General features: G+C 39.4%; 1 pseudogene; it reads right to left on the bottom strand.

The window, feature by feature from the left end:
- Positions 1-5605: 5605 nt before the first annotated feature.
- On the bottom strand, positions 5606-6215 carry HSD17B12P2 (HSD17B12 pseudogene 2; annotated as a pseudogene).

Genomic DNA, 16270 nt, shown 5'->3' on the forward strand with positions numbered 1-16270 from the left:
TTTTTGCATCAATGTTCATCAGGGATATTGGTCTAAAATTCTCTTTTTTGGTTGTGTCTCTGCCAGGCTTTGGTATCAGGATGATGTTGGCCTCATAAAATGAGTTAGGGAGGATTCCCTCTTTTTCTATTGATTGGAATAGTTTCAGAAGGAATGGTGCCAGGTCCTCTTTGTACCTCTGGTAGAATTTGGCTGTGAATCCATCTGGTCCTGGACTTTTTTTGGGTGGTAGACTATTAATTATTGCCTCAATTTCAGAACCTGTTATTGGTCTATTCAGAGATTCAACTTCTTCCTGGTTTAGTCTTGGGAGGGTGTATGTGTCCAGGAATTTATCCATTTCTTCTAGATTTTCTAGTTTATTTGCATAGAGGTGTTTATAGTATTCTCTGATGGTAGGTAGTATTTCTGTGGCATCAGTGGTGATATCCCCTTTATCATTTTTTATTGTGTCTATTTGATTCTTCTCTCTTTTCTTCTTTATTAGTCTTGCTAGCGGTCTATCAATTTTGTTGATCTTTTCAAAAAACCAGCTCCTGGATTCATTGATTTTTTGAAGGGTTTTTTATGTCTCTGTCTCCTTCAGTTCTGCTCTGATCTTAGTTATTTCTTTCCTTCTGCTAGCTTTTGAATGTGTTTGCTCTTGCTTCTCTAGTTCTTTTAATTGTGATGTTAGGGTGTCAATTTTAGATCTTTCCTGCTTTCTCTTGTGGGCATTTAGTGCTATAAATTTCCCTCACACACTGCTTTAAATGTGTCCCAGAGATTCTGGTATGTTGTGTCTTTGTTCTTATTGGTTTCAAAGAAGATCTTTATTTCTGCCTTCATTTCGTTATGTACCCAGTAGTCATTCAGGAGCAGGTTGTTCAGTTTCCATGTAGTTGAGCGGTTTTGAGTGAGTTTCTTAATCCTGAGTTCTAGTTTGATTGCACTGTGGTCTGAGAGACAGTTTGTTACAATTCCTGTTCTATTACATTTGCTGAGGAGTGCTTTACTTGCAACTATGTGGTCAATTTTTGAATAAGTGTGATGTGGTGCTGAGAAGAATGTATATTCTGTTGATTTGGGGTGGAAAGTTCTGTAGATGTCTATTAGGAAGGCTTGGTGCAGAGCTGAGTTCAATTCCTGGATATCCTTGTTAACTTTCTGTCTCGATCTGTCTAATGTTGACAGTGGGGTGTTAATGGACACACTGTCTTATGGCAATGGGTAAGAGTTCAGAAGTACTGGCAGAAATTCCAATTTTTTTTTAAATGTCTGCTTGGACATTTAAAATGTTTGTCACTTCTGCTTATATCCCATTGGCAAAAGCAAGTCATATAGCCAAGACTAACATCAATGAAAAAGGGAAGAGACTTGTCCTATTGGGAAAGAGGGGAGAGTGAATATTTGTTGAACAGTAGTACAATCTAACACATACGCCCTATATTGTACTCTGCAGTGTTACCTAATGTGGAGCCAAAGATACAGAAACATAAGAATCATTCCACTTTGGGAAGTATAGTAGACTGAGAACTTCCTGAGGGATCCTTCTACTGTGGAACAATTAGACCTTTGCTGGACTTAAGTATGTAAGGAAAATCTCCAATGGGGGTGGGGAGGAGTAGCAAAAATATAAGTAAGCCGAAACCAGAGTGGAGAACAATAAGCCAGGCATGCAAACACACAAAGGCCATTATCAGCATTTCCAGGGTTAAAGGGTGTGTGTGTGTGTGTGAGTCTGGCAGAGAAAGTCTGGGAGGAGAGCTGGGGATATAGAAAGCAAATTCAAGGCTCCAGGATTAAGCTGACAACCTTTGAAGGGGATAAAAGTGATCCCAGGTCATTAGTACCCCTGGATCTTTGTAGAATCACTTACAAATCCACTCTGGAGTAAAGACTGTTCAATTTAGGCTTTCAAGTTTTCTATACACCAAAGGTCCAAATATGAGCTCAAAATCAAAGATTACAGAACATACACACACGCAAAGTTCATGAGGAATGACAGCAGAAACCAAAAAAAAAAAAAAACAGATTAAGACCCCAAGGACTTCAGACATTGAAATTTCACCTATAGAATATAGAATAACTATGTATGGAAGATGGAATCACAAAAATGAAGAATCAGTAAGAGACTAAAACATAACAAAGTGGATTTAAAAAGAATCAATTAGAACTTTTAGAAATAAAAATATAATTGTCTCCCATCCAAGTACTAACCCACCCTGACCCTGCTTAGCTTCCCAGATCAAACGAGTTTGGGTGCATTCAGGGTGATATGGCTGTAGACAAAATATAATTGTTAAAAAAGTTTTATTGGATGAATTAAACTGAAGACTAGTCATAATTAAAAACTATGACAGAGCTGAAGAAATTTCCCAAAATGCAGCGCAGAGAAATAAAGTAACAACACAAAGGGACAACACAATTTTAAAATGGGCAAAGGATTTGAATAGACATTACTCCAAAGAAGACACACAAATGACCAATAAGCACATGAAAAGATACTCAACATCACTGGTCATTAGGGAAGTGCAAATTAAAACCACAGCCAGGTGCCATTTTACATCCACTAAGTTGGCCTTTAAGAAATGAAATAAGTGTTAGCAAAGATGTGGAGAAAATGGAACCCTTGTGCATTGCTGGTGGGAATGTAAAATGGTGCAGCCACTGTGGAAAAAAGCATGGTAGTTCCTCAAAAAATTAAAAGTTAACATATGATCCAGCATCCTACCTCTAGATATAGACCCAAAAGAATTGCAAAGAAGTACTCAAATACTTGTACATGAATGTTCATAGCAGCACTATCAACAATAGCCAAATGAAACAACCCAAATGTTCAACTGATGAATAAATCAGCAAAATGTAGTCTATATAGCCAATAGAATATTATTCAACCATAAAAAGAGATGATGAACTGATTCATGCTACACTATGGATCAACCTCAAAAACATTAAACTAAGTGAAAGAAGTTATACATAAAAGGTCACATATTGTATGATTCCATTTATATGAAATATCTAGAATCCACAGAGATAGAAAGCAGACTAGTGGGCCAGGAGGGAGTGAGAAGTAGGGATTGAATGTTTAATGGATATGGGCTTTCCTTTTGGAGTGGTGAAAATATCTTGGAACTAGAAGGAGGTGGTGGTTGTACAAACATTGCAAATGTGCTAAATACCACTGAATTGTAAAACTTTAAAATGGTTAATTTTGTTATGTGAGGCTGGACTGTGGGGGAAATGTTGACTTGAAGAGTCAATGGGCCCTTCAGGGACATACATCCTATAGAGTCAGAAATAGGAAATCTGAATTTCTAGAGCAGGATTTTGGCTTGAGAGGTACACGAGTGAGTTACCCTTGCATAGATGGTCATAAATATATATAAAGAAAATATGAACAAGAGATAAGGAATCATGAAAGATAAAATGAGAAGATGTAACAGATATCTAGTCAGAATTCCAGAAGAGATAATACAAAGAATGAGACGTAATATTTGAAGAAATTGTGCCTAAGAACTTTCTGAAACTGATGAAAGATATTAATCTACAGGTAAAGAAAATGAAACTCTTGGCTGGGCGCAGTGGCCAGATAAGCACTGTGGGATTATCTGCCAAGGCGGGCAGATCACCCTGAAGTCAGGAGTTAAAGACCAGCCTGGCCAACATGGTGAAACCCTGTCTCTACTAAAAATACAAAAATTAGCCAGGCATGGTGGTGCACGCCTGTAATCCCTGCTATTTGGGAAGCTGAGGCAGGAGAATTGCTTGAACCCAGGAGGCAGAGGTTGCAGTGAGCCCAGATTGTGTCACTGCACTCCAACCTGGATGACAGAGTAAGACTCCATCTAAAATAAAAAATAAAAAAAAAATAAAAATGAAACTTTTGCATACTAAGATAAATAAAAGGAGAAACATACTTAAATTATAGTGGAGCCGCAGAATCCTGAAGACCAAGAGAAGACCAAAAGTTAGATCACCAACAAAGTAATGGCGGAGTTACAGCAGATTTCACATCAGCAATGGAAGCTAGAAGAAAGAAAGTACCAACCTAGAATTCTACATCCAGCAAAAATATCCTTTAAGAATGGACATGAAATAAAAACACATTCACACAAAAACAAAACCAGACAGTCATCAATATATTTCTTTCTTTATTAAATTTTTTGAGACGGAGTCTCACTTTGTCGCCTAGGCTGGAGTGCACTGGCGTGATCTCGGCTCACTCCGAGCTCCACCTCCCGGGTTCATGCCATTCTCCTGCCTCAGCCTCCTGAGTAGCTGAGACTACAGGCGCCTGCCACCATGCCCAGCTAATTTTTTGTATTTTTAGTAGAGACAGGGTTTCACCATGTTAGCCAGGATGGTCTTGATTTCCTGACCTTATGATCTGCCCGCCTCAGCCTCCCAAAGTGCTGGGATTACAGGTGTGAGCCACCGTGCCCGGCCAATAAATTTCTAAAGCATATTCTTTGTTTTTCATAAAGCTATATTTATTCAATTTAAATGATAACCTTTATTCTGAAATTATGTTCTTCCTAATTTTAGGGGCTAAAATATGTTTTCTTTTACATAATGGTGTTGATAGCAGATGGTTATTTTTTTTTATTATTTGTTTGTTTTTGTTTTATGTCCTTAGCTGGCAAAATTAAAGCCAGCAACTAAGGCCCCAATTTTTTTTTAAATACAAATCTACTGGTGCTTAAATCTCAGAGCTTAGGAACCACAGCCTATGTAAAAGCCAATCTTTTTGTTGCATATTTCACAGTATTGAATTCTTTCTTGGTGAGTTCTCCATACAAGTTATGAAGCAGGATAAAACTCAGTCTTACATCAAGTCAGTGTAAATGTGGCCTTAATTTCAATCACCAAAGAAATGTATTTGTGTTGTATACCGTGGTTACAGCATATTTTATTAAAACTAATTATATTAGTACCTACCTATAGAGTATCAATTTAAAAATTATAATGACATTTCTATGATGTCATTACTTTTATAGGACTAGCCTGTGTCACATGTGTGAGCATTATTGGTGCAATGCAGAAATAAAGAAGGCTGGGTGTCCAAGCAGGCCACTTTTCTGGGTCAGGGTTTCAGTGGTACCATAGATGGGTGCCAGTTTCAATGTACACTTTGGCCCATTTATCTTTATAAATCATACCATATAGCTTCGATATTTACATACATTTAAACTGAGAAGAAATATGCATTACAAGAAAGCATAGTTTAGTGGGTTTCGTGTGTCAGAAACAACTCCATATTTCATAATTATTTTTATGTCATTAGCTACCCTTGATAAAGAACAATTCTATATAAATGTCCAAACTGGAACATAATTTTGTAAGACCTTAAAGAGATCTTTGTAAACTGCAGTGTGTCCACTTATAAACAAATCAAATCAATTAATCACCATTTCTTCAAAGTGTCAAAAACAAAAGAATAGCTGGACATTACCTTTTATAATCAGCTTCAGAGAAAATACAGGAATAATGATCAATGGCATTTTGGAGCAGATAAAACTGCTGAGTTTTATGTTTGAGTCTATCATTGTGTGATTTGCTATAATAGTATTCCTTCCTATTAGCTGTTCTCAACAATATTGGTTCTATATTCATTTGATATGAGCATTTATATTAAACTTCAAAATTACTTCTGGTAGTATCCAGAATATATGTCAGAGACTCCTAAAATCAACTTCTGTTTTCCTCTTAATTAACATTTGGTCAAACGACAACTTCAGATTTTCAAGACCAGTAGTGTGCCTTGCAGTGAACATGCATAGGCTGGAGCATCTGGCCAAGTTAAAATGTAGTTATCAATGCTTAGTTATTCTTGGTTTTCTTCAGATAGTGAGCCGTGTAGACTTGTTCATATCTGTGGTTATTTTAAAATAAATCCAAGAAGGCAGGATTGAGATTATGGAGCCCAGAAGAGCATGGATCAGGTATCCATTGGTTCAGGATTTGCAGGCCTCCTGTTTTGATTGCAGATTTCACAAACGTCTCCGAAGAGGGCTTATCCAAAGTTGGCTTTTGGATTTTAGCCAGTTTTGTAGCTAAAAAGTATGGCAGGACACTCTGCACAAAGATGCCCTTGCTCCTATACTCCTCATGGAGGCACCGAGAGAAGAAATCTACAAAAGTCTTGGTTGCAGAATAAATGGTCAACAGTGGGACAGGGAACATGCCACTGCCAGATGAGAGGTTCAGAATTGCCCCTTTAGATCTTTCCACCAAAGCATGTTCTTTAAGAAGGAAAATGAAACTAGAAGAAATGTCAGAGCTAGAGGAAGGAAAGATGAGCAAAGGATTTAGTAAGCATGGCATATCTAAAGTTTGTTCTACATAAAATACAAAGTTCTAATCTGTGGGGCAGCCTGTCTTAGTTCAGGTTCTTCCCCGAGCAGAGCCTAAGACGAATATTTAGGTACAAATCCTTTATTTGGGAAATGATGCCAGGAAGCATCAATAGGGGAGTGAAGTGTCTTAGTCTTGAGACAGGAAGCGAATAGTGTGTGTAAGAACTGTCCACTGAAGCTGCTGGTGACTTCCAGGCTCAACTGGAGAGATACAGCATGTCACTAATAGCATCTTTGGTAGGACTGGAATTCAAAATGTATAACACTAAAATATTAAACAAAGTAGGGTTTCAGTTGAGAAGTGGGTGATCAGAGTTAAATGTTCTAAAGTATTATTCAAGAAAAATATTAAGTTTTAGGCTGTTGTAACAAAGTACCATAGACTGAGTAGTTTATAAACAACAGAAATTTATGTCTCTCTTTTCTAAAGGCTGGAAGTTTAAGATTACAGGGCCAGCATGGCCAGGTTTTGGTGGGGACCCACTTCTGGATTGCAGACAGCTGACTTCTGATTGTACCTAATGTGGCAGAGAGCAGAGAGAAGGAGAGAGAGCTTTTTTGTGTCTTTTTATAAGGGGACCAATCCTATTCACCTAATCGTTCCCAAAGTCCCCACTTCCTAACAGCATCACACTGGGAGTTAGGATCTCAACATATAAATTTCAGAGAGACACACAGACATTTGGTCCATAGCAGAAAGGAAGCCAAGAGAAGATGCATCAATGAGCAAGTAACTGCTTGCTGTTGACAACAGGGCTCAACCCCACTGGGAATCCTCTGAAAATCTGTGTGTGGCACATTTTAGAATTTTCTCACCAAAGAGTGATGAAGTTGGGGCATTTATCTACTAACTGCTGTTTTGTATTGGCTGAGAACTGCCTTTTGGCGTCAGCTTTTCTGGCCTGCAGAATATGCTCCTGCAATCAATGAAAACCCTCAGAAGAGATATGCAGGTGCTTGAGACAGGCAGCCATCAATGTGTGTAAGAACTGTCCACTGAAGCTGCTGGTGACTTCCAGGCTTGACTGGGGAGATATGGCAGGGCACTCAACAGCGTCTGTGGCAGGATTGGAATCCAAAATGTATAGCACTAAAACATTAAACATCAGCAGGCCTTCATTTGAGAAATGGGTGATCAGAGTTAAATGTTCTAAAGTATTAAAGGAGAAATGTTAAGATATTAGTATAAGACTATTAAAGTAAATGTGCAAGGTAAAATTTCAAAGTTTCCACTAAAAGAATAGAAATGGATTGTATAACTTCTAAATCAGTTAAGAGGGGCAGAGGAAAAGATACAAAAAGAAAAACAAATAATAAAGAGAAATATCAGATTGACCTGGGTGCAGGTTACAGGTGATAAGTAGAGCAATAAGAGAGAAGCTGTGGGGGTGGAGCCTAGGCATGTGTACTTTTCACAAGCTCCTCAGCGATTCTTACACATTCTATAGTTTAGGAACCACTTGAATATAGCCAGAGCAACATTCTCAATGGCTTCCTGGAAAATTTTCATGGGAAATAAACATGCGGCAGAAGCAGTCTTTTGTTTCAAAAAGCACCTCCTTGTGGCAGCTTTAAAATGCAGCTGCAAATTCTTTAAACCTCTTTTTATCAAGAGTTGTGACTTAGTCTGCTTGTGTTGCTATTTAAAAAAAATCTGAGACTGGGTAATTTATAAAGAACAGAAATTTATTTCTCACAGTTTGGGAGGCTGGGAAGCCCAAGACCAAGGCACCAGCAGGTTTGGTGTCTGGTGAGAGCCGTTTCTGCTTCCGAGATGGTTCCGTGTTGCTGTATCCTCCTGAGGGGATGAATACTGTGTCCTTGTGCAGTGGAAGAGCGGAAGAGTGCATACCCATTCCTGAAGCCCTTTTATAAGGGCCAGAATCTCATCCACAAGGGCTCTGCCCACATGACTTAACCTCCTAAAGCCTCCGCTTCTTAATACTATCACTTTGGATTTTAGGCTCCCATGTACAAATTTTGGGGGCCATATTAAGACCATAACAAGGTGGGACCTATCTTCTCCCTTTAAATCTGGGTGGACTGCTTTGACCAATACAGTGTGGCAGAAGAATTACATTGTGACCAAGACCAAGTCATAAAAAGTCATAAAGCTTCTGTCTTTTCCTTAGGGAATCTTGGCTTTTGGAACTCTAAGATGCCCAGGTAAGATGTTCAATTACTCTAAGACCACCATGCTGGCAAGGGCACATGTAGTCATCTGGTTGATAGTCCATGACAGTCTGAGCTGAGCCCACTTTTAGCTTTCCCAGCCCGGGGACCACACATGGGAATAATGAAGCTTTCCTGGAGGTGATTCCTCCAGCACTCTGGCTCTAGCCTCCAGTTTAGATTATCTGAGGACCCAGACACTGAGAATCAAAGATAAACTGTCTCTACTCTGCTCTGCCTGAATTCCTGGCCTGCACAATCTGTGCACAGAATCAAATGGTGTTTTATGCCACGAAATGTTGTGGTGATTTGTTAAGCATCAATATATAGCCAGAACACCTGAATTAAAAATCTGTCAACCGTACAAAGACTGTCACTGTGCTGCTGTATCTCCATGCCTCCAAACCCAAACCCAAAAGCTACTGGTGCCCCTGTTTGTATGAGAGAAAGTGAAGGGATCTCAGTCAATGCAGTGGAGATGAAAAGAAGCCCAAGAAAAGCAGTAACAACTAGGGGTATGAAGCTGGAGCCTGAGGAAAGGTACTTGCACAGAACTGGTGTCTCTCTGTGTTGGCGTATTCTGCCCATAACCACCTATACATCATGTACACGGTCTTCACTTATGACCATGCCTGGAATCCAACCAAATAGAGACTCTTTATCCTCCTTCTGAAATGCCAAGATCTGTAGGAGACTGAGTCCTGCAGCTATTTACATTTTAATGTCAAGTAATTCAATACTGCTTTCTTCCTGACACCTCAGAGAGCTGCTGTTCTGGGAGGAATAAAAAATTTGAAAGAAACAGGAGTGGAAATCTAGGTGACAGTTCTACGAAACCCTTTGAAGAATAGGGCAGAGTGCCTCTGTCTCCCCATCCCCCCTTTTCTCCTCTGACACTTTTAAGTCTCTCCTTTTCTCCACCACCTCCCTTAGGACACTTGCCTCCTTCTTAGAAGGAAAGCAGTCCCAGATTTCAATTCCTCTTTCTTTCTTATGAACTCTAGTGGCTTTTTCTTCATTTGGGTGTTAGAGGAGCTCTCCCTACCCGGGGTTCTGTTGCTCTGAGAATGATGGCTGCACCAGCTGTAGTTCTATGGGCTGGGATGTGCTGTGGGCACTGCCCTTCCCATTTTCACTCCCTGACAGCGCTGTTGCAGCTGCTTGAATGCATTCTCAAAAACACACCAGCCACAGCCAGGGGCTATTCACTTTCTTCCAAAGACTCCAGTGTGACATAAAGAAAACCTATTTCTTCTAGTAGCATTACTTTGACCAGCTTTTTTTTTTTCTAGAATTACCCAGAGATGATCCTAAAAGACCTGTTCTTTGCTTTGAGGCTTACTTTCACCAAAAGAATCCTCAGGAGTAGGCACAGTGGGTCACACCTGTAGTCCCAACTATACCAGAGGCTGAGGGGCAGAAGGATCACTTGAGCCCAGGAGTTCCAGGCTGCAGTGAGCTATGACTGCACCTGTCAATAGCCGCTGAACTCTAGCCTGGGAGACGTAGCAAGACCCCATCTTTGAAAAAAAGAAAAAGAAATGAAGAAAAGAGTTCTCCTGTTAGCTGAGATTAGCTTTCTCTGGAGCTGCCCAGCACATAGAGTTCTGATGATAAGTGGATTCATTCCGATCCCCATTCCTTTTACCGATGGAAGTCAGGTGGGGAAGGAGGGGAAGGGAGTTGGGTTTCAGGTAAGTATGCACTCAGGTATGAGAGGTACCTTTGCTTCCTGCCTTCACTGTGCTCCATGATAGACATGTATGATATCTGTGAGATGTAATTATAACAACTAAGGTTGGACTATGGATTGACAGATGGTGTCTGGTGGTGATTTTTCTAAGCATCCTCTCTGACATTTCACATTACAAAAGATAGCATTTGCCTTTTATTTGATACTACTGAATGAGCTATTCGTTTTGTAGCCAGTAGAGCAAAAAGGTTAAGATACTAGCTCAGGCTTTAGACAGCATGGATTTGAATCCCAGGTCTGCTATTTACTGTGTAATTTCAAGCAAGTAACTTAATCCTTTCCACGATGCTGTTTTCCCATCTATGAAATGGTTGCAGTGAGTAGTACTGTCACATAGGGATATTGTCAGGATAGAATGAGTTAATACATAGAAAGCACTTGCAACAGTACCTGAACATAGTAAATACTCAGCAAATGTGAACTACGATGATTAAAAATCATTTTCTTTTAATGAGTGATGAGAAGTTATCATCTAAAATTGACTTGTTGTCATCTCAGCACTCTTCACTATAAAGGCAACTTTATAACGAAATATAATGCATTGTAAAGGCAATAAAAACGCAGCCTCATTTTGCAATACTGGGAGTTAAATCGGCATCAACAGCACTCCCCGTCTTCGGTATTGAGAGCTTACCTGGCTGGGTATGGATAACTTAGACAGCAAGAGAATTACTTCAGAATTAAGACTTCAGATTTCACCTGGGTTGGGCAGCTCCTGTTTTGAGCAACACTTTTCTCAATCCTGTTTCCAAATGTCTTCTTATGAAAATCAGGGCCATCGTTATTTTCCTTGTGGATTTTGAATAACTCATAGTTCTTAGGTAGACTTGACCCTTTCACAGGAAGTTTTTTCTTATAAAGCCTCTTATATTTTAGGGTGGAAGATTGCTCAGTCCTCCATCTCTTGGGTAAACAACCCACATCACACCTGGGCCATGTTTCTTTTGGGAAACCAAAGAGAATAAGGTACTCTTATTGAACATGGATGGTCAGTGCCGTCCTGGAAACAGGACAAAGCAGAGGTCTGTGGCCACCTTTGGCATGGTCTTATTTGTTTCGAGTACAAGTTGCTGTATCCTTTGGAAGAAGATTCCAGCTAATGAACACTAAAATACCCACAGAGACACAGAGAGCACACTTTAAGTATGAAGACAAAACTCAACTGTGAACAATTGTTGGGGTATGGGGAAGAAAGTAGATGCCCTGAGATGACCTTGGAGATAGCTTTTAACATCTTTAGAAGTTACCATTAAGAAGAAATCTCCAAGAAGATGACCTCTATTTTGAAAAGCATCTGGTCTATTCAAAAGTGTGCTTGCAAAGGAGAGAAATACAAAACTACCAATAGGCCAATGCCACACTAATAATTGCTGCAGCCCAAATCCATCGATAGATGCTAAAACCAGAGGGCAAAATTTGAAGAGGAACAGGCTATTTTCATGGTCTAAGTACCCCATCCCAAGATATTTGCTAATTACAAAGAGGAAAAATAGTAAACTTATGGTGGAGAAACCAGACAGATAGCACTTTATCCAACAGATCAAGGTTAATATCACCAGTGATACAACATTAACATCATACACGCTTGATATCATGTACTGAGAGAAGCCCAACATCACTTCGGTGGTATTCTTGCAAAAAAAAAAAATGCACAGTTTACTCTCAATCATGAGAAAACACCAGATAAACCCAAATTGAAAGACATTTACAAGGTAACTGACCAGTACTCTTTACAAGTTTCAGGGTCATGAAAGATAAGGGAAGACTGAGGGACTGTCCCAGATTGGAGAAGAAATAAGAAGATACAACTGAATGGAAAGTGGGGTCCTGGAGTTGGTCCTTGGCCAGAAGGACAGCAGTGGGGAAACCGGGGAAATCCAAGTAAAGTCTGTAGCTAGGAAGGTCACACCAGAGTTAATCTCCTGGTTTTGATAGTCACACAATGGTTATGTCAATATGTTAATATTTGAGGAGTCTGGGTGAAGGGTAGATGGAAACTCTCTGAACTATTTTTGTAATTTTGGATAAGTCTAAAATAACTTCAAAATACAAAGTTAAAGAAAAAAATTTAAAAGTGTCCTTTTCAGCAGGAAGTCTCCAAATATAGAGAATTGTTTTGGTAGGTTTAATTGGCCTGGCAGATGAGAAGCCATAAACTGGCTTTTAAAAAAAGGAATTATAATACAGAAGTATTCAAAGCAGATTCTCCTTACCTTAAGGGAATAATTGAAATACCAAAAATAACAAATAAAAAAATCAAAGCTTGTCCTGTTGACAAAATATACCATTGATATCATGAAAGTAAACATTCAATAGCATATTATAAAATGTATTTATGAGTATGTGGAAAAGAACTTTATATTTGTCCAACTGACATCTTTTCATAGCACATCCCAAATCCTGACTTCTAAAAGCATCGTAGAAAACCTAGCGGTGTGTTTCTTTGGTTAAAGCTGTCTTTGTTATCAAATTTGGCATTATAGGTGAGAAAAGAAAAAGAAATATGTATTTTTAAAAATTAAAAATAAGCCTGTCTTAACTCCAGAGAGAAAAATAAACAAAGGCTCATACAACCTGATTAAGAAGTTTTAAGATTCACTAAGGTACTGACATTGGGGAGACTGGTACAGGTGTGTATTTTTCTTTGACACACTCCTTTGCTTTTCACAGCGTTGGCCCAGGGCTTTTTGGAGTGCACGTTCCCTATTAACTTTTTCAGGAGAGCTGAGCACAGCCTATCACTTGGATCTTTATTAAACTAGAGCTCTCACAGGCTCCACATTCAAGATTCATTAGGTGACAAATGCCAGGAAGAAAGACGGATCATCTGGAAGGATCCTGGATTGTTAATGCACTTCAGAGTTCTCTGATCATGATGATTAATAATCTATGTAAAAGTGACATTTTAATGAACACCTTTCATTTCTACCATGCTTTATGGGCTTTATAGCATTTCCTCATTTTATTTCATCAACAACCGCGAACATTGAGTACCTACCAGGAGTGGGACTCAGATTCTGCCCTTGAGTCACCGCCAGCCAAGCTGAGGAGTGCGGTGGATGCACAGGACTAAACCCCTCCATCAGTTGAAAGAAAACCTAGAAATTGGGCACCAAGGTAGGAGAGAGATGCAGCCGTTTAGGGTAGATGGAAAGACTTTCTGGTATAGGTCAGAAGGCTGTTCTAGGCCTGCAGTGGGGAAGTAGGTGGCAGGGGCAGGCACCCAGCCAGGGAAGTGAATGGTAGTGAAGCCCCGTGCCATGTTTTAAAGCAAGAATGTACAAAACCACATTTACAAAGGTTTATTTGAAACAATATGTAGAACCAGTCAAGACTGGTGGAAAAAACTGAAGAAAGAAGACTAACTGGTACCTGTTATTAATAAAATTAGCTGATACTCATTAAGAGGTCACTTAACCAGAGCCCATGCTAAAGGCTTTATGCAAATAATCACATTTAATATAGTCCAGTATTCCTCAGAGCTAAACTCGGGTTAGTTGATCACAGAACTGGGACTTTATTTTATTTTATCATTATTATTTTTTGAGACGGAGTCTCCCTCTGTTGCCTAGGCTGGTGTGTAGTGGTGCGATCTCAGCTCACTGCAACCTCTGTCTGCCAGGTTCAAGTGACTCTCATGGAGTAGCTGGGATTACAGGTGCGTGCCACCATGCCCAGCTAATTTTTGTATTTTTAGTAGAGACGGGGTTTCACCATGTTGGCCAGGCTGGTCTCGAACTTCTGACCTTAGGTGATCCACCCGCCTCGGCCTCCCAGAGTGCTGCGATTTACAGACGTGAGCCACTGCGCCCAGCTGGCTGGGACTTTAAACCATTACTTCACATTCAAATAATCATAATGGTAGTAATAGGAAGATAATGAGGGAGATGACTTTGTACTAAACACCCACAACAGACAGGTGCTGTACTCAGTGCTTTGCAGCCCAGTGCTTTGCCTGGACTTGTTGGGAGAATGGGCAGGGGAAGAAGTGAATCAGCACTCTGAATGCAGACATCCTTGAAATATTTTGTCAGCTTGTGAGCCTGAAGATAAGGCTGTACTGCTAATGTATCAGGAAAGACCAAGAGGGCAGCCAGTGGAGAGGGAGAAGGGGCACTGTTTTGCTTTGAGTAAGCTGGGGACCACTTCCTCGTGTTGGGGGGAAAACAATGATACGCAGTAAAAGAAGAAAAAAGGGCCAGTCTCCTTAAATTTCACCGAAATAGTGCAAACTACAATTTTTCAAGAATATAATCAATTATTGGGCGGTCCTTAGTGAGTCTGGAATTATTAAGAATAAATAACCCTTTTTTTTTTTTTTTTTTTTTTTTTTTTTTTTTTTTTTTTTTTTTTTTTGAGAGGGAGTCTTGCTCTGTCACCCAGGCTGGAATGCAGTGGCATGATCTCGGCACATTGCAACCTCCATCTCCCGGGTTCAAGCAATTCTCCTGCCTCAGCCTCCCGAGTAGCTGGGATTACAGACATGAGCCGCCACATCTGGCTAATTTTTGTATTTTTAGTAGAGACAGGGCTTCACTATGTTGGTCAGGCTGGTCTGGAACTCCTGACCTCAGGAGATCCGCCTGCCTCGGCCTCCCAAAATGCTGGGATTACAGGCATGAGACACTGTGCCTGGCCAAGTAATCCAATTTTTAAAAGATGGGTAGGTTTTAGTTAGTAATGTCCTTTATTTTCTGAAGTCTGGTATAAAAGGCAGGAATTTTTGTTCATATTAAAAAGTCATCTGGAATAGTTTCAGAATTTTATGTCTCAAATTACTGCCTTTTATTTTTGTGATTAATTGTGTTTGAAAAGATACATATTTTTAGCTATTCTTGTTATTATTGCTGGAATTATGCATGTAGAAATATACATTCAAACAATGTAGGAGGCACAAAATGGGCAGTTTAAATCGCCTCGACCTACTCCGCAGAGACTGCTTTTAATTCTGGTGGTTATTCACACTGCATTTAAATTGTTTATTTAACTCAGAAAGGACACATAGTTTTAATGCTTATTAAGAGTTTCATTGTGTACAAAATGGTATAGCATATTGTGTCAATTTTATGAAGAGGCAATGGCCCATAATACGTTTTAGACACAGACTTTATTGAAATTTTCAGCAGAAAGCTCTAAAATGTCGATATTAAATGTAAAAGTATGTTTTTAGTACATGCCACAACCATGAACAGCTTCATTCTATTACTAAACGGTCATTAAAATATTCATCCAAATTCTATTTGAATAACTTTCATGTCTTGTAAAATCTGAAGAACATTTTAAATTGATGGGGTATTAGAATGTTGAAAGAAATACATTTGCTTTTAAGACCAGCCTTATCAGAATTCGTGAAGGCTATATTGTGGCATAAATGTATATATTATAAATGTTGGGGAAACAAAAAGAAAAAATCATATAAGAGTGGATAACTTCCTGTTGAATATAATATTACCAGTTTTTTTTTTTGGGGATTTTTATTAAAGCATTCAGTATTGTCTTCTCGTACTTTTCAGCCACATAGTTGAACTCAAATCAGAACATGATCCTCCAACTTTATATTCATTAACAGTAAGGATTCAGACAAGTGTGGATTGCCTTGTTTATGTTGTGGCCTCTGCATGTGAACCCTCTGGGTTACTGCTGCAACACGGATTTTCATCCGCCTCCTCATTTGATTAATTAACCCAGCTTCGGTCATTGTTTCAGCAGCCCCTGCACAGGCAGCCTCTCCGCCCTGGCCCACCAAGTCTCCACTAGAACCTCTTTCATTTCACCCAGGGAGTCTGGGGAAGGCGCTGGACAGCGGTGTTCATAATTCCTTTGTCTAATTGCATAGGATCAGGGTGATAAAGTTTAAAAGGGTGTTTGCATCAAGAGTGGTTATTTCAATTTGCCCTGTTAAATTTTCACCTTTTGCTGATAGATAGCATGCCTAATTTTATGAAATGCCATTATGTTCACAGAAAGGAGATGGGAGTGGGGAAGGGTTAACATAAGAGCAAATGCT

This window comes from Homo sapiens, chromosome 20 (assembly GCF_000001405.40).
Source record: "Homo sapiens chromosome 20, GRCh38.p14 Primary Assembly".
Taxonomy (NCBI): domain Eukaryota; kingdom Metazoa; phylum Chordata; class Mammalia; order Primates; family Hominidae; genus Homo; species Homo sapiens.